This window comes from Homo sapiens, chromosome 2 (genome assembly GCF_000001405.40).
Source record: "Homo sapiens chromosome 2, GRCh38.p14 Primary Assembly".
In the NCBI taxonomy this organism is placed as follows: domain Eukaryota; kingdom Metazoa; phylum Chordata; class Mammalia; order Primates; family Hominidae; genus Homo; species Homo sapiens.
Window position 1 is genome coordinate 48,735,281 of NC_000002.12, and position 25,248 is coordinate 48,760,528.

Genomic DNA, 25,248 nt, shown 5'->3' on the forward strand with positions numbered 1-25,248 from the left:
TTGTGATTGGTCATGACTCTGGCGAGGCTTGTGCATCGTCTAAACTGGACCCAATAATATTAATATTTGGGGGCAGGAGTGCACCTGCAGTGCCTTCCCACATGCTATGCTGGTGTTTGTTTTTGTCTCGATTTCTTATTCTGTAGCTTGCTTGGTCTCCCCAGAATCCATCTAGGAGTAGGGCTTCTCTTAGTTCCTGCCTTCTCTTTTTCTCAATCACCAGATCCTGATCCCTGTATCTCTACCCCTTAGGGAACACTGCTGCCCTAGAACAGTTCCTGGTTGCTGTCTGGTTAGGGTCAAGCTAGTATCTCTTACTGCTTAGTTCTGACTTTCAAACTGGGCCCCTTGGCACAGACGGTGACCCTGTGTTAGGACTACCCAGTGGAGTTGGGTTACTTTCTGTAGTGGATACTGTGGTGGGCTACCCAAGTCACTCTTTAGTACTGACGCACCAATTTCGCCAACTGCTAGGAAAGAGTGGGTGGCTGAAGCTCTCAGCTGAGTTGCTCTCCTAGAATTATGCTTATAGACTGATGTGGTTTGGGTCTGTGTCCACCCAAATCTCGTGTCAAATTGTAATTCCCAGTGTTGGAGGTGGGGCTTGGTTGGAGGTGATTGGATCAAGGGGGCAGATTTCCCCTTTGCTGCTGCTCTTATGAGAGTGAGTGAGTTATCATGAGATCTGGTTGTTTAAAAGTGTGTAGCACCTCTCCTCTCTCTCTTCCTCCTGCTCTGGCTACATGAAAATGTGCTTGCTTCCCTTTTGCCTTCTGCCATGATTGTAAGTTTCCTGAGGCCTCCCTAGCCATGCTTCCTGTACAGCCTGCAGAACTGTGAGCCAACTAAACCTCTTTTCTTTGTAAATTACCCAGTCTTGGGTATTTCTTTATAGCAGTGTGAGAATGGACCAATACACAGACCAAGATTGCTACCTCACCCAGGATTATGTCTTCTCTTTTGGGCAGCCCTCATCCAGTGACTGGACAATGTATAGAATAAAGGCCCAGCCCCCTTGCCTCCGGGTGGGACTACTCAGAAGGACCATCCTATCTTTAGACCTTCTTCCTATCAATTCTTACCTGGGCCCTGACTTGATCCCCTTCCCAGCCAAATCCAATTGCCAAGCACTCAGTGCAGCTGTGTCAGAGTCCAGTGACAGGAAAATTTACAGCATCCAGATAAATCTAATTACCTTAAAGAAGATAACGCCACCTTATCATGTCCTCCCTGGTGGTTTCTAATGTCTCCTGGGTACCCAGGATTGGGGCTTGGGCCCCTCTTCTTTTTTCTTTTGAGTTTAATGACACAGATGGCCTTGGAAGGAGCCAATTTGTCCAGTTTAATTTTTGTTAACTAATCCTCAAAGTAATGTTACCTGGAGAGCTTCAGTCAGGTGGGCTCTAGTGTCCCCCTTTAAGAAAATAGAAGATTTGTTTTGTATGTTATATATATTAAAAATTTTAAAAAAATCTGGAAATCCTTGCTTATAAAAACCTATCAATTGGGAGACATATGCACTATCAAATATTTCTTTGTTCTATAGATGGATTTACTGCAGGGTTGCTTTAAATAGCAAACTCCCTGGGTGAATGGAAAATAGAGTTCAATTGACACACTCTCTCTTTTTAAGGACAGGTATTGCATAAAGCAAATTATAACTGTAGGTTTCTCACCTCCCCTTGGTTTTTCAGAGCTTGAATACAAGATGTTTCCCAGGGCAGGGAAGCCTTCTGATGCCCTCAGGCTGAGGAGGTGCAGAGGGAGAGAAGAGCCAGGGAAGAAATGCAGCACCAATCTGGAGTCTCCAAAGACTGTATAGGCTCTTTGGTCACTTGCCAGAGCTTTTACTTTTCCTTCTGCCCAACACATGGCAGAAGTGAAGTGTTTTTATTCACTACCTTCTAATTGTTGTTAAAAATGCCAACTATATTATTGATTTAAGAAAGCTACAAACATCCATTCATTTTCCACAGATAATGAGTTTATTGCTAGAGCTATATCCTGAATTCTAAAACACTACAAAATCAGATGAAGGGAAAAAAGAGAGAAATCAGAGAGTTAAAGCTTTTTTGCCTAATGAACTTGTTGAAATGGGAAGAGGTTTATTTAATTATTTAAATTCAAAAGAATTTGGTGTTTTTGTATTTATTAAGATCTTGTTCTACACTTAACAGTGTCTTAAGAAGTTCTGTGTTCTTTTCAAAGCTGCTCACAATGATAATAAACTTGCTTTCATCTTAGAATAAAATAAAAATAGCTTTCCTCTTTTGAAATGATTTTAAATCTTTGAGCTGTCAAAGGCATCGGACTATTTGGTGGCTTCATTACAGGGAATGTCTTCACTTATTGGCCTATTGTCTTCAGCATTTACCTAGAGGGAGCTGAGGCTTCAGTGTTAACTGAAATATGAAGTCAGTATAGATGAACATCCAATATGTTACGCTTTACACCAGAAAACTTTGGAACAGTCTTTAAAAATACATCCAGGTGGTTTTGATTATTGTTGATTGCTCCCTGCAGTTACTGTACTAGGCTCAAGGAGTCAGAGTGAAAGGGTTGCTTACAAGTCATTTGGTCCAACCCCTCACTTTACAGAGAAAGAATCTTAGGAAAAGAGAAATGACTTTTTTGAAACCACATGGCAATTCAGAGGCAGATCTGGACTAAAGCATTGGTTTCTTCCTTCCTGGCTTGGTGCTGTTGTCCTCCAACAATCAAGTCACATCAGTACTGTTCATTTGGATGTTTGTCGATACACTCTACTACATGATCCTCTGCTTTTTGTGTGTGAAAACTTAGCCTCCTGAAAAGAGCCATCAGCTTCTTGAGGACATAGCTCAGTTTCAAAATGCAGCTCAAATCCCTGCTTCTCCATGAAGCTTTGGAGCCTACCAGAATGTTTTTTCTCTTCCTCTATCCTCCTCTACACTTAATTACTACACTATTTTTTTTCCCTTCAGTATTATTTGAGAATTTACCAGATGCCATGCGTGAACATTTCCTCTGTTCTCCCATCGAACACCCAGTCTCTGGTAGATTCTGCTTTCCACATTGTCTCTTGCTTCCAGCCCCTTTACTCCTTACACACTGCTACTCTTGGCCATTCTTTTCTCCACCTGGACTATTCTAGAGTCCCCTAATTGGTTTCCTGTCACTCCATCGTTGCTTTCCCCTGACCAATCTAGATTACTCTTCCTGACAACTCCTGCTATGTCATTCTCATGTCAAGCAGCTTCTTTGCCACCCCCTCAGCCAACCTATCTACAAATGTCTCAGCCTGGCATTCAAGGCTCAATCTTTATTCACCAGTTGTATCACCCACTCTTGCCCTCATGTAACCAATACACTAGACTTGCACCGTCTCATATGGCAGCCATTAGCCATATGTGGCCACTGGGCAGTTGAAATATAGGCCAGTCTGAATTGAGATGAGCTGTAAGTATAAAATGCATACCAGGTTTTGAAGACTTGGTAAGAAAAAAGAATGTAAAATATCTCAGTAATTTTTGTATTGATAACATATTGAAATGAGAATATTTTATACATACTAGACTAAATTAAATGTTTTATTCAAGTTAATTTCACATTTTGAAAACTTTTTAAATGTGGGCACTAGAAAATTGAAAATTACTCGTGTGACTCACATTATGTTTCTACTGAACAGCACCTCCCTAGGCAAATCAAACTATTTGTACTTCCTGAACTTGACTCACACTTTCCTGATGTCATTCATGGTTCCTACTGTTTGGCACATCTCCCTTCTCTGCTGGTCAAATTCTACCCTGGATTAAAGGTCCATCTCAGAATGCAAATCAAAACCACAATGAGATACCATCTCATACCAGTTAGAATGGCGATCATTAAAAAGTCAGGAAACAACAGATGCTGGAGAGGATGTGGAGAAATAGGAACACTTTTACACTGTTGGTGGGACTGTGAACTAGTTCAACCATTGTGGAAGTCAGTGTGGCGATTCCTCAGGGATCTAGAACTAGAAATACCATTTGAGCCAGCCATCCCATTACTGGGTATATACCCAAAGGATTATAAAACATGCTGCTATAAAGACACATGCACACGTGTATTTATTGCGGCACTATTCACAATAGCAAAGACTTGGAACCAAGCCAAATGTCCAACAATGATAGACTGGATTAAGAAAATGTGGCACATATACACCATGGAATACTATGCAGCCATAAAAAATGATGAGTTCATGTCCTTTGTAGGGACATGGATAAAGCTGGAAAGCATCATTCTCAGCAAACTATCACAAGGACAAAAAACCAAACACTGCATGTTCTCGCTCATAGGTGGGAATTGAACAATGAGAACACATGGACACAGGAAGGGGAACATCACACACTGGGGCCTGTTGTGGGGTGGGGGGAGTGGGGAGGGATAGCATTAGGAGATATACCTAATGTTAAATGACGAGTTAATGGGCACAGCACACCAACATGGCACATGTATACATATGTAACAAACCTGCATGTTGTGTACATGTACCCTAAAACTTAAAGTATAATTAAAAAAAAAGGTCCGACAATTTGAGAAAGATGGCCGAATAGGAACAGCTCCAGTCTACAGCTCCCAGCGTGAGCAACGCAGAAGATGGGTGATTTCTGCATTTCCATCTGAGGTACCAGGTTCATCTCACTAGGGAGTGCCAGACAGTGGGCGCAGGTCAGTGGGTGCGTGCACCATGCGCGAGCTGAAGCAGGGCGAGGCATCACCTCACTCGGGAAGCGCGAGGGGTCAGGGAGTTCCCTTTCCTAGTCAAAGAAAGGGGTGACAGATGGCACCTGGAAAATCGGGTCACTCCCACCCGAATACTGCTCTTTTCCAATGGGCTTAAAAAACGGTGCACGAGGAGATTATATCCCGCACCTGGCTCGGAGGGTCTTACGCCCATGGAGTCTCACTTGTTGCTAGCACAGCAGTCTGAGATCAAACTGCAAGGTGGCAGCGAGGCTGGGGGAGGGGCGCCTGCCATTGCCCAGGCTTGCTTAGGTAAACAAAGCAGCCAGGAAGCTCGAACTGGGTGGAGCCCACCACAGCTCAAGAAGGCCTGCCTGCCTCTGTAGGCTCCACCTCTGGGGGCAGGGCACAGACAAACAAAAAGACAGCAGTAACCTCTGCAGACTTAAATGTCCCTGTCTGACAGCTTTGAAGAGAGCAGTGGTTCTCACAGCACGCAGCTGGAGATCTGAGAACAGGCAGACTGCCTCCTCAAGTGGGTCCCTGACCCCTGACCCCTGAGCAGCCTAACTGGGAGGCACCCCCCAGTAGGGGCAGACTGACACCTCACATGGCCGGGTACTCCAACAGACCTGCAGCTGAGGGTCCTGTCTGTTAGAAGGAAAACTAACAAACAGAAAGGACATCCACACCAAAAACCCATCTGTACATCACCATCATCAAAGACCAAAAGTAGATAAAACCACAAAGATGGGGAAAAAACAGAGCAGAAAAACTGGAAACTCAAAAAAGCAGAGTGCCTCTCCTCCTCCAAAGGAACGCAGTTTCTCACCAGCAACGGAACAAAGCTGACAGAGAATGACTTTGACGAGCTGAGAGAAGAAGGCTTCAGACAATCAAATTACTCCGAGCTACGGGAGGACATTCAAACCAAAGGCAAAGAAGTTGAAAACTTTGAAAAAAATTTAGAAGAATGTATAACTAGAATAACCGATACAGAGAAGTGCTTAAAAGAGCTGATGGAGCTGAAAACCAAGGCTCGAGAACTACATGAAGAATGCAGAAGCCTCAGGAGCTGATGCGATCAACTGGAAGAAAGGGTATCAGCGATGGAAGATGAAATGAATGAAATGAAGTGAGAAGGGAAGTTTAGAGAAAAAAGAATAAAAAGAAACGAGCAAAGCCTCCAAGAAATATGGGACTATGTGAAAAGACCAAATCTACGTCTGATTGGTGTACCTGAAAGTGACGGGGAGAATGGAACCAAGTTGGAAAACACTCTGCAGGTTATTATCCAGGAGAACTTCCCCAGTCGAGCAAGGCAGGCCAACATTCAGATTCAGGAAATACAGAGAATGCCACAAAGATACTCCTCGAGAAGAGCAACTCCAAGACACATAATTGTCAGATTCACCAAAGTTGAAATGAAAGAAAAAATGTTAAGGACAGCCAGAGAGAAAGGTCAGGTTACCCTCAAAGGGAAGCCCATCAGACTAACAGCAGATCTCTCGGCAGAAACTCTACAAGCCAGAAGAGAGTGGGGGCCAATATTCCACATTCTTAAAGAAAAGAATTTTCAACCCAGAATTTCATATCCAGCCAAACTAAGCTTCTTAAGTGAAGGAGAAATAAAATACTTTACAGACAAGCAAATGCTGAGAGATTTTGTCACCACCAGGCCTGCCCTAAAAGAGCTCCTGAAGGAAGCGCTAAACATGGAAAGGAACAACCGGTACCAGCCGCTGCAAAATCATGCCAAAATGTAAAGACCATCGAGACTAGGAAGAAACTGCATCAACTGAGGAGCAAAATAACCAGCTAACATCATAATGACAGGATCAAATTCACACATAACAATATTAACTTTAAATGTAAATGGACTAAATGCTCCAATTAAAAGACACAGACTGGCAAATTGGATAAAGAGTCAAGACCCATCAGTGTGCTGTATTCAGGAAACCCATGTCACGTGCAGAGACACACATAGGTTCAAAATAAATGGATGGAGGAAGATCTACCAAGCCAATGGAAAACAAAAAAAGGCAGGGGTTGCCATCCTAGTCTCTGATAAAACAGACTTTAAACCAACAAAGATCAAAAGAGACAAAAAAGGCCATTACATAATGGTAAAGGGATCAATTCAACAAGAAGAGCTAACTATCCTAAATATATATGGACCCAATACAGGAGCACCCAGATTCATAAAGCAAGTCCTGAGTGACCTACAAAGAGACTTAGACTCCCACACATTAATAATGGGAGACTTTAACACCCCACTGTCAACATTAGACAGATCAATGAGACAGAAAGTCAGCAAGGATGCCCAGGAATTGAACTCAGCTCTGCACCAAGCGGACCTAATAGACATCTACAGAACTCTCCACCCCAAATCAACAGAATATACATTTTTTTCAGCACCACACCACACCTATTCCAAAATTGACCACATACTTGGAAGTAAAGCTCTCCTCAGCAAATGTAAAAGAACAGAAATTATAACAAACTATCTCTCAGACCGCAGTGCAATCAAACTAGAACTCAGGATTAAGAATCTCACTCAAAACCGCTCAACTACATGGAAACTGAACAACCTGCTCCTGAATGACTACTGGGTACATAACAAAATGAAGGCAGAAATAAAGATGTTCTTTGAAACCAACGAGAACAAAGACACAACATACCAGAATCTCTGGGACGCATTCAAAGCAGTGTGTAGAGGGAAATTTTTAGCACTAAATGCCCACAAGAGACAGCAGGAAAGATCCAAAATTGACACCCTAACATCACAATTAAAAGAACTAGAAAAGCAAGAGCAAACACATTCAAAAGCTAGCAGAAGGCAAGAAATAACTAAAATCAGAGCAGAACTGAAGGACATAGAGACACAAAAAACCCTTCAAAAAATTAATGAATCCAGGAGCTGGTTTTTTGAAAGGATCAACAAAATTGATAAACTGCTAGCAAGACTAATAAAGAAAAAAAGAGAGAAGAATCCAATAGATGCAATAAAAAATGATAAAGGGGATATCACCACCGATCCCACAGAAATACAAACTACCATCAGAGAATACTACAAACACCTCTATGCAAATAAACTAGAAAATCTAGAAGAAATGGATAAATTCCTTGACACATACACTTTTCCAAGACTAAACCAGGAAGAAGCTGAATCTCTGAATAGACCAATAACAGGATCTGAAATTGTGGCAATAATCAATAGCTTACCAACCAAAAAGAGTCCAGGACCAGATGGATTCACAGCCGAATTCTACCAGAGGTACAAGGAGGAACTGGTACCATTCCTTCTGAAACTATTCCAATCAATAGAAAAAGAGGGAATCCTCCCTAACTCATTTTATGAGGCCAGCATCATCCTGATACCAAAGCTGGGCAGAGACACAACCAAAAGAGAGAATTTTAGACCAATATCCTTGATGAACATTGATACAAAAATCCTCAATAAAATGCTGGCAAACCGAATCCAGCAGCACATCAAAAAGCTTATCCACCATGATCAAGTGGGCTTCATCCCTGGGATGCAAGGCTGGTTCAACACATGCAAATCAATAAATGTAATCCAGCATATAAACAGAACCAAAGACAAAAACCACATGATTATCTCAATAGATGCAGAAAAGGACTTTGACAAAATTCAACAACCCTTCATGCTAAAAACTCTCAATAAATTAGGTATTGATGGGACGTATCTCAAAATAATAAGAGCTATCTATGACAAACCCACAGCCAATATCATACTGAATGGGCAAAAACTGGAAGCATTCCCTTTGAATACTGGCACAAGACAGGGATGCCCTCTCTCACCACTCCTATTCAACATAGTGGTGGAAGTTCTGGCCAGGGCAATTAGGCAGGAGAAGGAAATAAAGGGTATTCAATTAGGAAAAGAGGAAGTCAAATTGTCCCTGTTTGCAGACGACGTGATTGTATATCTAGAAAACCCCATTGTCTCAGGCCAAAATCTCCTTAAGCTGATAAGCAACTTCAGCAAAGTCTCAGGATACAAAATCAACGTACAAAAATCACAAGCATTCTTATACACCAACAACAGACAAACAGAGAGCCAAATCATGAGTGAACTCCCATTCACAATTGCTTCAAAGAGAATAAAATACCTAGGAATCCAACTTACAAGGGATGTGAAGGACCTCTTCAAGGAGAACTACAAACCACTGCTCAAGGAAATAAAAGAGGATACAAACAAATGGAAGAACATTCCATGCTCATGGGTAGGAAGAATCAATATCGTGAAAATGGCCATACTGCCCAAGGTAATTTACAGATTCAATGCCATCCCCATCAAGCTACCAATGACTTTCTTCACAGAATTGGAAAAAACTACTTTAAAGTTCATATGGAACCAAAAAAGAGCCTGCATCGCCAAGTCAATCCTAAGCCAAAAGAACAAAGCTGGAGGCATCACACTACCTGACTTCAAACTATACTACAAGGCTACAGTAACCAAAACAGCATGGTACTGGTACCAAAACAGAGATATAGATCAATGGAACAGAACTGAGCCCTCAGAAATAACACCGCATATCTACAACTATCTGATCTTTGACAAACCTGACAAAAACAAGAAATGGGGAAAGGATTCCCTATTTAATAAATGGTGCTGGGAAAACTGGCTAGCCATATGTAGAAAGCTGAAACTGGATCCCTTCCTTACACCTTATACAAAAATCAATTCAAGATGGATTAAAGACTTAAACGTTAGACCTAAAACCATAAAAACCCTAGAAGAAAACCCAGGCATTACCATTCAGGACATAGGCATGGGCAAGGACTTCATGTCTAAAACACCAAAAGCAATGGCAACAAAAGCCAAAATTGACAAATGGGATCCAATTAAACTAAAGAGCTTCTGCACAGCAAAAGAAACTACCATCAGAGGGAACAGGCAACCTACAAAATGGGAGAAAATTTTCACAACCTACTCATCTGACAAAGGGCTAATATCCACAATCTACAATGAACTCAAACAAATTTACAAGAAAAAAACAAACAACCCCATCAAAAAGTGGGCGAAGGACATGAACAGACACTTCTCAAAAGAAGACATTTATGCAGCCAAAAAACACATGAAAAAGTGCTCACCATCACTGGCCATCAGAGAAATGCAAATCAAAACCACAATGAGATACCATCTCACACCAGTTAGAATGGCGATCATTAAAAAGTCAGGAAACGACAGATGCTGGAGAGGATGTGGAGAAATAGGAACACTTTTACACTGTTGGTGGGACTGTAAACTAGTTCAACCATTGTGGAAGTCAGTGTGGCGATTCCTCAGGGATCTAGAATTAGAAATACCATTTGACCTAGCCATCCCATTACTGGGTATATACCCAAAGGACTATAAATCATGCCGCTATAAAGACACATGCACACATATGTTTATTGTGGCATTATTCACAATAGCAAAGACTTGGAACCAAGCCAAATGTCCAACAATGATAGACTGGATTAAGAAAATGTGGCATATATACAACATGGAATACCATACAGCCATAAAAAATAATGAGTTCACGTCCTTTGTAGGGACATGGATGAAATTGGAAATCATCATTCTCAGTAAACTATCGCAAGAACAAAAAACCAAACACCGCATATTCTCACTCATAGGTGGGAATTGAACAGTGAGAACACATGGACACAGGAAGGGGAACATCACACTCTGGGGACTGTTGTGGGGTGGGGGGAGGGGGGAGGGATAGCGTTGGGAGATATACCTAATGCTAGATGACGAGTTAGTGGGTGCAGCGCACCAGCATGGCACATGTATACATATGTAACTAACCTGCATGTTGTGCACATGTACCCTAAAACTTAAAGTATAATAATAATAAATAAATAAAAAATTAAAAATTAAAAGAAAAAAAAAAGGTCCGTCTCAGGTACTACATACTCTATGGAAAGGGTTTTCATCACCAGTGGCACTTGCTTTCTCTCTTGAAGTCCCATAGTGTGGTAGTTAAGAGCGCACACTCTGGAGCCAGCCTGGGTTCAAATCAAAATTTCATTTCACATCTATAAAGTGTGTATAATCTAAAAAATCTATGTTTACATAATACTAATATAGCATGCAGTACAATATGAAGACTCAATAAGTATTTTTATTAATAATTCACAGCTGCTTACTGTGAAAGATTTAGGCCACCTAGGCTACATTTTATGACATCTCTATTTCCTTGGCAGGGGGTAGGGGTGGATAGGTTCCATACTTAGGAATTGATTCTTCTGTTTGTCATGGGTCAGTCACTTTTAAGTCTATAGCATGCCTATGGCTTATTCCTAAATCTTGACTTTCCTCTGATTAGGACAACTGAGAGGGAGAATAAATACTCTCAATTGGTATCTTTCTTTTGGGCTCAGATATCTCTTTTAGGACTCTTCTGATAGCCTTTTTAAGAAGTGATAAAGAACAACCTTCAATTAAATATTTCAACTCTAGAGAGCCACTCTGCAGATTTTGCATTTGAGCATTGATTGTTTTAATGATCAGTCAGTTGAAACTTTCCCATTGGAAAATGCAATTTGAGTGACTCTCCTCTAAGACAGCCATTCCGCAGCACCCAAGATGGTGTGAGGAGTTTATGTCTTATCATGTGAACCAAGATGTTAAGAAGATTCCTGGATAATGGATTTTTCATGTCATTTGTGCAACAAGTAAATTAAAAATATAAAGCCTCAGAGGAAAATGGTAAGTATATCTAAGCCCTTACTCAAAACCCATTTAACATTTTCTAAAGAAACAAAGCAAAATAACCCAATCTCTATCTCCTTAAACTAGAATTTGTCTAGCAATAATATAACATGACAAGAATAACTCTGGTAAATAAAACTACATGTTGGGTTCTCCCTGGGGAATGTCTGCCTCACCTGTAATGATTTCTTGAAAATATTTTTCAGAAGCTGAGAATATTATGTTGCCAAGGCAGTGACATTGCAGATATGCTTCAGGAAGCTCTTTCATTAAAAGCGCCTCTTTCCCAACACTTAAAAACTTTTTTTAAAGTAACTGTGTAAAAGTTGGTTGCAACTGATATACTACATACTTTTATTTATTATTATTTTTTCTTTTACTTTTTTTTTTCTTTTTATGAGGCAGTCTCGCTCTGTTGCAGAGGCTGGAGGGCAGTGGTGCGATCTCGGTTCACTGCAACCTCTGTCTCCTGGTTCAAGGGATTCTCCTGCCTCAGCCTCCCAAGTAGCTGGGACTACAGGCAAGCACCACCATGCCTGGCTAATTTTTTGGTATTTTTTAGTAGAGACAAGGTTTCACCATGTTGGCCAGGCTGGTCTCAAACTCCTGACCTCAAGTGATCCACCTACCTCAGCCTCCAGAAGTGCTGGGATTACAGGCGTGAGCCACTGTGCCTGAGAATGGGTTTGAAGTGCCTGAAATTACTGGCCTGTGTGCCTTCACTTTTTACTAACTTATCCCCTCTGGTAGCAACCATTATGAGGTTGCCTGTATCAAAAATGCGCCCTTCTCTGGAAGTACCTCAGAACTCGCCACATTATGGTGGAAGAATCTTGCTGACTGAGCAGATCGATTCTATGCTGGGTGTGCTTGGGTCAGTCAGATTCTCTTTTTGGGAATTGGAAATTTATAAAAGAGGGACAGAGAGGAGTCGTTTTTGGAACCGACTCCTTGTAAATCTAGGGGAAAGCTCCCTGAGCAGCTTTTGCTAAGATGCCAGATATTCTCCTTACATCTTCACAGCATACTTCTACCTTCTTATCCTTCTATTAAGTTAATCTCTTATGATTAAAATGGTCAGAATTGATTTCTGGTGCTTGCAAATGAAAAAAGACTTACCCAGAGCCCCACCCAAGGTTTCCAGGTTGAAGTAATCCACTATTCTATGGACAGTCCATAACACAGGGCATATGTTGTTGCTCAGTGAGAGGACCGAAGGCTTTGAATAGCGATTCCTCAGTGGTCTCTCTAAGCTGGCCAGAACTGAGCTTAGGGGATAACCATGCTAGTCCAGCTGCCTCTATAGAGAATGAGCCTTAAAACACTCAGAGGAAGTTCAAATGACACTTCCTCTGAGGCCTCTTTGTTACTCTGGCTAGAAGAGATGATTCCCTGCTCTGAACTCCTATCTTGTTTATAACCTTTATCTAGCATTTATCACATTCTCCATTTCCCTGTAGTCATTTGAGAAGAGGATACCTCTTCTACATCTGGAAGACTATAAGCTCCTGGAGGGCAGAGATGGTATCTTTGGATCCTGCATGCTATCTTGTACATTTCAGTACGTATTTCCTGAGTGGCCAACAAGTCTCACCTGAAGGCTTTCTGTGTGTCCAGTCTGAGGCTTAGGGATGGGGAAAGGGGGGAGGAAAAGATCCAGAATGGGCTTGGATGCTTTAGCTGGGCAGACAGGACCAAAAACAGCCAATAATCAGGTATTAGGAGGTATGTGTCAGGGGCAGCTAAGTTTGGGCTGAAAAGGCCAGAAATTAGACTCAAGGCAATAATGAGCTCTGCTGTTTTGGGATTCTAACTTATTCACTTTCCAGGTTGAGAAGGCCTAGTGGGTCATTTTCTCTAATTAACACCTCCCAGGAACAAAACTGTTCCATCAGGCTTGCCCCTTGGATGATAGATATTTACTGTTCAACCTCACATATGGGCTGTGGGTTTTTTAGTCTTCTCTGCATCATCAGATTATTACAATAATACCTTGTAGCTATGTGAAAACTTTATTTCCATACTTTTGGCTTTTTTTGGTCTCATTTATCTTCACTATATCTGGTCCCACTCAGGGACAGGAATCATCATGTCCCTTTTACAGACAGCAAAGAGATTTCATCATTGAGCCAATACCTACAGTGCAAATTAGAAAAAGGGGACCTGGTGCTAGAACCCAGTTCTGCCCAGTCTGTCCTGTTGATCAGTTTGAATAATTTGGGGACTGCATTGGACCCTACCCTGTCACACCACAGCATCCTCACCTCTGTGGGCTCAGAAATGCTGTCTGCTGCTACTCATGAGGTGCAATTAGGAACCCAGGAGTAGCGTAACCTCATTACATCAGAGTCAAGGACAAGTGTAACAGCAGCAAGGAATTAAATCTTCATTCTGAAAGTTGAGTTTTGTTTATAAATTGTACTTTTCTGAATTTGGCTGAGGTGGCATTAAGGAACTGAGGTTCAGGGCCACATAGAGAGCAGCTGTGAGTGGTTTGCCAGGAGGTGGTGTCATCTTCCAGTGAGGCAGAAGCTGGGAGTACATGAGGACCCTGTGGAGAAGCAGCTAGAAGCTGCCCACCAAGTCAGAAAGCCCACCTGCCTGGTGGGAGGGATTATTTTAATTCCTTTCATAAGAAAAAAAGCTGGGTGGGAATTTGCTAAAATCTGCATTAAATATGATTTTTCTGCAGCCAAGGGGAGCTGCTGGAACAAAGCACATATGCTCCCATGGAGCCAGCCCTCTCAGCTGTGGAAGTGAGCAGCAGGGCTTCTCTTCACCACTGTGACTCAACTGGCTTTAAAACCTCAAGTATAAGATCAGAATTACACATGGCCAAGACAACATTTGGTGTAGCCACTCTGGGAGATTATATTTTGGAAAGAGACCTTTGTTGCCTCATTTCAAGACATGAAAAGAAGCCAACTGAGGGGCTTAGGAAGAAGATAGAGGTGGGCAAAAGAGCAGAACTGGAGCCCTGAATTAATCTGATTTACTGCTTTTGAAATTAAAAAAAAAAAAAAAAAAGAAGAAAAACCCAAGGAATTACTACTCTCCAAGGAGGGAGCTGGGTCCAATGCCAAAGAGATCTGTGTGTGAACCTTTTGGCTCTACACTTGCGTTGAGATTTTGGGAACTCTGTTGCTTGTTTTTTAGTGTCTTGCTAGGGGCTATCATTCACTTTCCCCAGCAGAGTGATTTTTAAACAAATAAAATCTAGTCCTTCCTGAGCTTCTCCCGAGGAGTCTGTGTATCAGCAAGGTCAGGTTTAAGAGTTGCCTTGAGGCATGGCTGGGAGAGCTGAGTCAGAACTAAGGTTCCAGATTAACCTCAACCTTGGGCCTTTGTTTCTTTAGGGGTGGTTGTGGTGGTGGTGAGGGTAGGCTAGGGAGGTGGGACATAAACTTTCTTAATTCTGAGATTTTTTGGCTGGCCCAGATTTAGGAAAGCTGAGGGTAGGGCCAAGCTGTCTTGCTTGCAAGAGTGTGGTAGTCTTCTTTCTGTCTGTGGATTCTTTCCTGGGGGCTGTTACCTTGTGTGCTACACCAGGAGGCCATCTGTCTCAATTCAGGCTGCCTTGGTGGTTTTTGTTTGCTTTCAGTTTGTTTTTATTAAGGAATCTTGGGCTGGGGATTGATTCTTCCCTACTGAGTCTAAAAAAATAAAATGAAAACAATCTAGATGGAATATACTGATATAGGTAAGCTTCAGGTCTTGCTTCCCTGAAGTTGATATGTCTGCTATTTCCCATTCAAATGATAGACTGGAAGCCTACAAATTCTGTTATAGGACCTGGATGCTGACATAACACAAATAACTCCCTTCAGAACCTATAGCATTTTCTCACTTCCCCATTTTCTAAAACAGAGATTTAAAAAATGACATTTAGCTGTAATACATGCTAGCTGATGTAGACATGCTTCTTTTCTGCATGAGTTAATTGTTCCTATTCAGCTATCTCAGTTTAATCATGAAACTCAGTAACACTTTAATTATACTACATGTGAAATTCTGGGAACCCTGAGTTGAATGACATTTCTTCAGGTGGTTCTTACTCTAGCACAATGATTCAAAACCAAGGGGTGGGGAGGAATTTCCCCCTGCCCCCTCCGGGGGTCATTTGCCAAATGTCTAGAGATACTTTTGGTTGTCACAATTTGGGAAGGCAGCGCTCCTGGCCAGGGATGCTGGAAAACATTCTACAAGGTTCAAAACAGCTCCCATAACAAAGAATTATCTGGCCCCAATTGTCAATTGTCAATATTGCTAAGATTTAGAAACCTGCTCTGGCAGAAGAGGCACATGTTGAACAAATGGCTGCATTATGGTGAGATATGTACAAAAATATATGTAAGCCCAGGATATTGAAGTGAGTATGTGGATGGGGAAGATGGAGGTGGAGTGGGGGTGGGGCAGTGGGCATCAGGGAAGGCTTCATGGGGAAGTGACTCCTAATCATGGTTTTTACTTAATGCCTTTGCAACCAATCATCAAATAATGGCTTTAATTGAAAGCTTATTAGTCAATAACTACATATTGGGATTTTTTTTTCTTTTTGCACAACGTCTGAGTAATCAAAGCTCTCTAATAACTTTATGTCTTCTCTTAAGAAATATTTCCCCCCCAGCCTGGGAAGAATTTATTCAACCTTCTTCCTTGCTTCTCAGCAACGAATCTCTAGTTGATTTTAACCTGTGGTTCTTCCACCAGGACCCCTCTTTCCTTCTTCACAGTTCAGCTTCTTAACACTTGGCCCATGAAGCCTTCCCTTGGAGACTTCAGTTCATAGTGATTAATTCATTCTGTGAATTCCTTAGAGCCTTGTTGTCTTTCTCTCTACACCTATACCAGTCTCTTGGGGGTGTGTTTCCACTTACATTGTGGGCTTCTCAAAGACACTACGGCACTGAACACTGTTTTGGACCCTGATTTACACTGCAAGTGAGAGGAAGAGGAAGACACTCAAGAAAGGTGTCAGGAAAGAGTAATGCTGGATCGATATGAACATTGCATTAGGTTGGTGCAAAAGTAATCATGGTTTTTGCCATTGAAAGTAATGGCAATTACTTTTGTACCAAGCCAATATCTTGCCAAGGCCTCTGGATTATGTCTTCAACAAAATCTAAAAGTTTAATTTCTGTTCAGTAGGTACAACATGCAAAAAATAAATTGCCATAATTATTATTAGCATTTTCTTACTAACAGATTTTTCAAAAGCTGTTTCCATATCAAGCAGATCAACCTTTCTGTTGTCATAGAGACAAAGATCTTTATATAGCCATGGGCAAGGTGAGATTTTTTTCTCCTCTTTCCAGTTGCCTAGAACTAATAAGAAAGGAAAGGAAATTTTTTAAATCAGTTTTTTCTTTCATTTTTTCCCCAATTAAAGTGAGTGAAATGTGGGAGGTTATATTTTGTATCACATTTTAGATTTTAAATACCTATGTTTTTCATAAAATATGAAAGGGGAGGAAAAATTTGAACGATGCCATTTTCAAAATTTGTAAGCAGCAGGCTTGTCAGTGATAAGCAGCTATAATCCATGTACCTTGTTTTTTTTCTTCTTCTTAAACCAAATAGTGAACTTTGGATGGAGGTCTTAGAAGGTAAGGTTACTAGGACCCCAAATGACTAAAGCATAAATTAACATCTATTGAGGGACTAATGCTGAATCCTAAGGTGCTCTGCAGTACTTGCCTCCTCCAACCCTGAGAACTTGGAGTGCTCCCCTTCTCTCTGCAGAGGCAAAGTCTATGATAATGTAGTGCAAGACCACATCCTCTCCTCCTGGAAGACTTACCTCATAATTTAAGCTTTCTTTTTTTTTTTTTTTATGAACTGATAACTTGCCATCATAGCAGTTTTCTGTCTCATAATTACTGTTTATCATTTCATGCATTCATCATCAAGAAAAGAGGATTTCAGTATGAACCTGTCCACTTTTCCTGTCCTTTGTCTTAATATTGAGTTATTCCTTTACCCATAGGTCTTCTTACCTCAGGACTCAAAACTTCTTATTCTTTCTAAGGTTAATCTTTCCCCCATGTTGTTAGACTGATGCTCTCCTCCTACCCCCATTGAGATCTGACAATTAACATTCCTCCCTCATTCCCTGTATCTTCAGTCTGTCCTCCATGGATTCCTTCCTGCAGTCCTCTTTGAGGAAAAAAAAAACTTCCCTCAATTCTGCTTATTTTCCGTCTGCCTCTGGGTTTAGGATTTTGATTTTATGCCTTTTTGCAATAAATAGGTGTTATGCCGGATTTTGGCGGGGGGGGGGGGGGGTGGGGAAGGGAAGTGTATGGCACAAGGACTTTTAAAATATACTTTTTCCTCTCTAAGATGATACCTCCCTGGAGAGCTGTGCCTTGGTTCTCAAACTTTAGTATGCATCAGAATCACCTGAGGAGCTTGTTAATCTGTAGCCTGCTGGACCCCACCCCTGGAGTTTCTGATTCAGTAGGTTGGGGCTGAGGCCTGAGAATATGCAGTCTAACATTTCCCAGGTGATGTTCATACTGCTGAGCTAAGACCATACTTTGAGAAATATTGCCTTGAAGTAACAACCCTCCCTTTGCTTAACATGCACCTCTCTTGTCATATGGATGTTGGTGTCACTATGTTGTGCCAAAAGTTACCCTGTTTTGGCCTGCATAGGCTCAACCTCCACAGAGTGACAAGGGCATCTCTTGAAAGATGAGGGCATCTCTCAACCATCTGGTGCTCAGGAAATGAAACCTTGTGAGGGTCACCACGCTTGGCTAAGGAGGCTAAATGACTGGCAGAGGATGTTCCTGGTGGTGGATGCTCAGGGTCTCTACCCCCAAACCTAGTCAGCCCTATCAGATATTTTTGAGGGGTTCTAGGATTCTTGAAACCCTGCTGAAAGGCAGCAGGAGAAAGTGGGATTTTTAAAAAAAATTTACTTCAGCCTTTTCCAGGGAAGGGGGTCCCCTCCTGAGAACAGCACGTGGCAGCAGGAGCCCTTGAGAGATCTTACTGAAAAGCTGAATTGAAAAGGAACTGGGACTTGGCCCACCCATTCATGCCCCCAGTGGGAGTTCTTTGCTCAGTACTAATTTTGGAGAAACTGAGTGTGTGTGTGTGTGTGTGTGTGTTTTATTAAGAAAGCAGTAGTTTTTCTTACAAAGATGAGCAAATTTAAAAAGATAATTAATAGATAAAATCCTGAATTGCTATTCAATAGCTGTGAGACCTTGAGCAAGTTATTCCTTCTCCTTGGATCTCAGTTTCTTCTAATCTGTATGATAAGTAGCAGGCAAGTGAGAAAGTCTGTTAGTAGTACAGTCATTCTTAAGAGCAACATGGCATGCTTGTCAGGGACGGACCAGGGCTGGAACTTGGAAGGCCTGTTGCATGGATTTGTGGATTGATTGAAACAAATTCTATCAGCATGGTCCATTCCTTCAGGGAATGGACCTGACAAGATAATTAATGGAAACTAATTAATATAAACCCCTCAACCCTTTAACTGTATCTCTCAACCACAATTATTCCCAGAAGGCCTTTAACTTTTCCACATGAAGAAGCCTGGCCTGGCAGGGAGGGTGAGTCTCCTCTATGAAACAGCCCGTGACAGACTGTTGGGGGCTCAAAGGAAATGGCAGAGGGGGTGGTCTCCTTCCTTCCCCAGCACAGAATTCCATCATCTCTAATTGTTAGGACATGATCAAGACCTCTACCAGCCTTTTAGATACTCTTGTCTTTTGTCTTTTTTTCCCTTTCTTTTCTTTCCTTTTCTCTTTTCACAGCTGTATTGAGATGTAAATCCTACACTATAGAATTTAAAGTGGACAATGCAATTGTTTTTAATATGTTCACACGCAACTGTCTCTACAATCTAATTTTACAAAAATTTCACCACCCCCCCGCCCCAAGCCCATACCCACTGATTAGTAGTCACCTACTGTCCCTCCCATCCGCTTCCCCAGCCCTGGTAACTACTAATCTACTTTCAGTTTATCTGGACATTTCATGTAAATAGTATTATAAAATATGTGGTACTTTTTTTTCTAAATAGGAGAAAGGAGACCTGATGACACCCTGATAGTCTAGTACTAAAGGCTCCCCTTCTCCTCTTTACCCCATTACTCCAGAAACAACGCCCTCCCCCAGGTTGCTGATGTATACAATCCCTCAATCAGGCCTGTGAGTGTGGAGGTGGTGCGCGGGTGCCAGCGGCAGGGCACAGGGCCTTTGGTCCATTAGACCATGAGACTGAAGTTCAAGCACATCTGGGCACGGTGGAGCAGCGGCTTGTGTGCTCACTAAGATGCCCGTGTGACTGCCAGCAGTCAGTTGACAGATTAGGTCACCCTTGGCCATAGGGCCTGAGCACTCCATTCCTAGAGGACCACAGGGTGCCAGAGCTCACATTCACCTTCCCTGACGTGGCTGGCCCAAGGCTCAAAGGCCTGTAAGACTTCTCTGGCAGAGACCCCTGCCAGAGGAGTTGAGGAGCGTCACACCCATATTCCCTTCAAGCAGCGGCAGAGAGCAGGCCTTCCCCTGAGGTTCCTGAATAGTTCTACTCCCCCGGCCACAGCCCCAACCAGGGGTAAAGAATGGGGCTGGGGCTCTCAGAGGCATGGGGTGGTAAAAACAACCACCAAGTTTTGGGTTCTCATCACCCTAAAACGTGGGGGAAATTTGATAGGGCAAAGCGTTTTTCTCCAAGCTTCCAGGGAAAGGGGGCCAAAGGAGTAGGGAGGGAAGGTGGCATAGAGCGATGGAGGGTCCTGCATCAAGGGCGCCGCGACGGGAGCGCTGTGTACTCACAGTCGAGTGAGACCGGCCGTGGGGCCGGGGCAGCGCAGGGCGCCGTCGGGCACGCAGTTGCAGGGCTCAGGGCAGAGCGCCTCGCGCAGCGCTCGTGGCAGCGGCGGCTGCAGCAGCAGCAGCAGCTTCAGCAGCTGCAGCGCCGAGAACCGCTGCTTCATGGCCGGCGAACTGGGCTTCTGCGGCTTGCCAGTGTCTTGGACGGCCTCTGAGTGCGGCCCGCACCCCTCTCCCCGCCCCTTGGCTGCCCTTCCACACACCCTTCCCTGCCGGCCCGCCCCTGCCCTCCCCCTCTTACCGCGCACCCCGCTGAGTCTGCTCTGCCTTGACCTGCGACAGTGCCCAGTGACCCAATAACCTCCTTCCTGCTACTTTCCCCTGTCTTGTCCCCTACCATCTGCAAATGGCCCTAGCTATAGGAGGTAAAGAGATTTAATGGCAAATGTTTTGGATTAGAGGTGGGGAGTTCTGAATTGAGTGAGTTGTGACGCTTCCCGGAACCCCTTTTATTTCATTTGTGAAAGGGTCCGATGGATACTCGCTATACCCACATCAGAAGGCGTAAGAGTGCCTGGCTCAGACATTTTTCCTCTCTTTTATCCTCAACCCCTAATCCTTTCCCCTTCTCTTTCACCAAATCCCTCCACTCTACAAGTAATCTTTGCCCATCCTCCCAACTACCCCAGTAATTTCTCTTGGTGGTAAATGCTTTCTTATTTATGGTATAGCTATTTGGCTTGGTCCTGTATCTCTTCTATAGATTGGGAGGTCCTTGAGAGCAAAATCCAATTCAGATTTATTTTTGTATTCCTTCTGGCTTCTACATGGTAAGTCCTCAGTAAAGATTTGTTGAATGAATGAATGAAACTGCCTAATACTGGTAGCAGCTGCCCCATAGAAGGCCCAGGATAGGCTAGACCTTGTAACAGGTGCTCTGCCTCACATCATGTTTAAGCTCCACATTGAACTAGCAGGGTGTTTGCGATGAGAAAAATGTCCCAAGAGGTATGTGGCTTCCCTGAAGTCACACGGTTTTAAAGTAGTGAAACCTGGAACTCATGTCTATCACCTACCACCTCTCACCAATGCAAAAAGCTGCTATGATCTACATACCAAAGAACTTAGGAGACAAAATTTTACGGTAATCATGGGGATCCATAATATCCCCTCTTTGATTTGATCATTTCTTCCTTCCAAGGATTCTGTTTGGATTCTGGAAATCCTAGCAGTTTTGCTGGAAGAGGTGGACTTTGAAAGCTGGGAAGGCATTTAAGGCTTTGAAGAGAGGAAATATAAGAATAGATTTCTTTCACTCTGAAGCCAGTTCTCAAGGATGGGCTCCTTCATTCACCATTCTACAGTCTGTTGCTCAAGGAGGGTAGATTATTATTATTTTAAAAACTTGTTTGGCTTTGGCCACATTGTGCTAGATGGCACAAAAACAATGCTCATGTCTATAATATTGTCTTCTCTGGATCCTCTCTTCAACTGCTTATAGATGACTCCTCACCCTTTAATACCTCTGCATGGGCTGTCCCCACTATTTTCTCTTCTTTTTCCATTATTCCATTAGATAAACTCCCAGTTGTCCTTCAAGACTCAGCCCAATGTCATTTCCACTTTGATTCTTCTCTGAGTCATCCTAGTTGAGTAGTTGTGGCCATAACACCTGGTTCTACAGCAGGTAATCTAACACACTGTAATTGTGGGTTTAATTTTGCTTTCCCCTCTCTATTCATCTCAATATCAACAGAGCATGTCATAGCTTCTAGCTCCTAGTAGGTGTTCCATATGTGTCTGTTGAATAATAGAGTGAATAAGTGAGGCCCAGATTTGTAGTAGATGCTCAGTAAACTATCTGAGAAGAGCTTGATACCCTCACTTGCTTTATTCTCAACCACGCTGGATCTATCTGGATATGTAAAAAGTAATTATACATGACGACTTTGGGTGTCATGTTCTCTGTTCTCTTTTAGTTTTGTCAGATTTTGGTAGGGAAGTTGGGGTAGGCACTGGGATTTTTAAAAGTTTTCACCATGTATCTTGAATGGAAGGAGAGAAAGAATGAATAACTCAAGGTGCCTGAATGGCTTTTCTTTCAAGTCTCATGTTTTATGTGACTTTTTTCTTTTTTTAACCCTGTAGTGTACCTGTTATATATAAAAAAAGTTTGCTCCCACCCACCCCTGAATCTTTGAAAACAATGGATATTCCAGAAGAATCATTTAATTCTGTACTCCAGTAGGAGGACTAGGCAATCAGAACACTAGGATTTTCCTTCTGTTTCTGCTGTCAATCATGAGATTTGCCCTTCAGTCTCTTCATCTGTAAGAAGAAGGGTTGAAGTTCACTATCCCTAAGGCTCTTCTGGCTCTAAAGATGCAAGGACTTTCTAAGCAGCTCCTACAGAATTGCTAGTGGGAGGAATTGGATTGTATATATTGACTTCTTATAACTTGTCTTGGATTGGAAATAAAATCCTGTTTATGAGGAGTTGAGGTTGTTCGTTTGGAAGAAAGCTAACAACTGTAATGAGTTTTCATAAAATTTTACTATCTAGATTAATTTCAGTTGGATCTTAATTATCACATCAGTTCTTGCAATGTAACTATTATAATAAAATCATATTGATTCATTTGTTATAATCACAAAAGTTTGTTACAATGGAATTTACCTATCTTATTCATTAATACTCATTATGAGTGAGTATTTTTAAATCCAAAGGACTTTGTTTCATTAACTATGCTTATAGCTACTTTGTCAGAGAACTTCAAACCAACATGACCCACAAAGATTGCTGATTACATTTTAATGACAAAATAAAGTTCACAGAATTCACAAATATTTTATCCTACTTTAGAGATAGAAAAACATACTGACACCGTAACTCAGAAATTGCAATTAAAACTCTCCAAAGTTTTAGAATGGAGCTTCTCATATTTTAGGGTGCAGAAATACCATTTGCAAAGCTTTAAATACGAAGATTCCTAGAACTTTCCCTATGAGATTCTGATTCCATAGATATAGAGTGGGGTCCAATAATCTGCATTTTAACAAGCTTTCTCGTGTAATTTTGATGCATGTAGTCCTAGAGCACAATTTGAGGAATACAAAAATGGTAATCCTAGAATTAAATTTGCCTGAAGAAAACAAAGCTCAAGAATCTTTATTAAGGACTTTGAGTGAAGCCTAATAATTTTGATGCATCTTAAAAGAAACCTTGATATGTATAAGCATAGAAATAGTATATTCTGTATACCTGTGTTTAAATGTCTAAAATTATTTAATTGGTTATATTGCTGAAATTTATTTATTTATTTATGGAATGAGCCATGTTGCAAAATCATGGAATCTATTTTCTTTATGCCACCCTAGGTCAAAACTCAATAGCATCTGAAGTTACATTAACACATTGGAGTTGAAAGACATTAGCAAAGTAATTTTTAAAAAAATTTTTACTTTAAGTTCTGGGATACATGTGCAGAACGTGCAGGTTTGTTACATGGACATACCTGGGCCATGGTGGTTTGCTGCACCTATCAACCCGCCATCTAGGTTTTAAACCCCGCATGCATTAGGTATTTGTCCTAATGCTCTCCCTCCCCTTGCCCCCCATCCCCCAACAGGCCCCAGTGTGTGATGTTCCCCTCCCTGTGTCCATGTGTTTTCATTGTTCAACTCCCACTTATGAGTGAGAACATGTGGTGTTTGGTTTTCTGTTCCTGTGTTAGCTTGCTGAGAATGATGGCTTCCAGCTTCATCCATGTCCCTGCAAAGGACATAAACTCTTTTTTATGGCTGCATAGTATTCCATGGTGTATATGAGCCACATTTTCTTTATCCAGTCTATCATTGATGGGCATTTGGGTTGGTTCCAAGTCTTTGCTCTTGTAAATAGTGCTGCAATAAACATACATGTGCATGTGTCTTTATAGTAGAACGATTCATAATCCTTTGGGTATTCCCAGTAATGGGATTAGCAAAGTAATTTTTAAAACCTTAAGTAGAATAGGCAAGGTTTTTTGATTATTGAACACATACCCTGTTAGTATAATAACTGGTATTTCTTCTCACTTAAAAGCAGTGGTTTTACCTTTCCCTTGGAAGAAAAGGTGAATGTAGGCAGAGGAAGAAAAAATTGCTTAAGAAGAGAAAAATACAGTTACATCTCTGAGCTGTTCACCTTTTTACCTGGGGTAAAAAAACTAAACAAAACAAAATAAGGAGAATAAAAAAGACAGTCCATGAAAGTTACACTCCAAAATTTCATGCAAATTCTTTATTGCTTGTTTAGAATTTTCATCTCCATTTCACTGTCTACATAATGTAAAATCAGAGCTGCGATCATCTGTGCCACCTCCCACACAGCCCTGGGGTTCTTGTGGGCCTCAGCAGGAGTTTGAAGCTGCAGGATGATAGGAAGCTGGGCTGGTAATTGGAATGTGATGATTGGTCTGGGGCATGAGAATCCTACTCTAAGGCTGATGGAGAGAGAGAGTTGGAGAAGGGGCCTTGCCTTTTTGGTCATGTTGCTGGAAGGATGTGAATGAATTAGGGGCTGCTGTCCTTCTTGTCTCATGGAAAAAGCCTGTTTGTGCTGGCAACAACTAGAGGAAAGTAGAGATGAGAAATAGATGGGGGCAAGCAGTCTTGTTAATGTCCTTTGACTTCATGGAACTGGTCATGCCTGAGGCCAGCTCTACCCTTGGACTTCCTAAGTAATGAGCTAACACACTCCCCTCCTGCTTAGTCTAGTTGGAGTTGAGTCTCTCTCACTTGCAACCAAAATTCTTCATCTCTACTATCAGCCTTGCTGTGAACTTTATTTAACCTGCCAACTTCCCTCATCCCTTCCCAGTTAGGAGAGAAATAGGGCTTTTCTATTCTTATCTCTGTCACAGGACTCATTATAGTCATAGTGAATTTTTCTCCTTTGCATTGACAGCCTTTATCATCGTACTTCTAGGAATAAACAAGTCAAATGAGTGAATGAACAAATGAATGAGTGCACAAAGAAG

The 25,248-nt window shown here is 41.9% G+C and overlaps 2 protein-coding genes across 5 annotated transcripts in view, besides 2 other annotated features; one reads left to right on the forward strand and one right to left on the reverse strand.

Annotated features, from left to right (window-relative positions):
• The window catches only part of LHCGR (luteinizing hormone/choriogonadotropin receptor), a 68,951-nt gene extending 48,507 nt beyond the window's left edge, over positions 1 to 20,444 (reverse strand). For all 4 annotated transcript variants that reach the window (XM_047444293.1, XM_047444291.1, XM_047444292.1 and 1 more), the window contains exon 1: positions 20,231 to 20,444. In XM_047444293.1, coding sequence (XP_047300249.1) covers positions 20,231 to 20,391 — 161 coding nt within the window. In that variant the 5' untranslated portion in view covers positions 20,392 to 20,444. The remainder of the gene's footprint in view (positions 1 to 20,230) is intronic.
• The window catches only part of STON1-GTF2A1L (STON1-GTF2A1L readthrough), a 246,595-nt gene that overhangs the window by 205,356 nt on the left and 15,991 nt on the right, over positions 1 to 25,248 (forward strand). The window lies entirely within an intron of this gene.
• Positions 14,946 to 15,105: an enhancer, noted in NCBI's record as "active region_15748". NCBI's record gives its function as "activates an Ori minimal core promoter by ATAC-STARR-seq in GM12878 lymphoblastoid cells {active_cell/tissue: GM12878}" and the evidence as "EXISTENCE:reporter gene assay evidence [ECO:0000049][PMID:35858748]".
• Positions 20,002 to 20,778: an enhancer, noted in NCBI's record as "H3K4me1 hESC enhancer chr2:48982421-48983197 (GRCh37/hg19 assembly coordinates)". NCBI's record gives its function as "activates a minimal SCP1, AML or CMV promoter by ChIP-STARR-seq in naive H9 embryonic stem cells {active_cell/tissue: H9 hESC(naive)}" and the evidence as "EXISTENCE:reporter gene assay evidence [ECO:0000049][PMID:30033119]".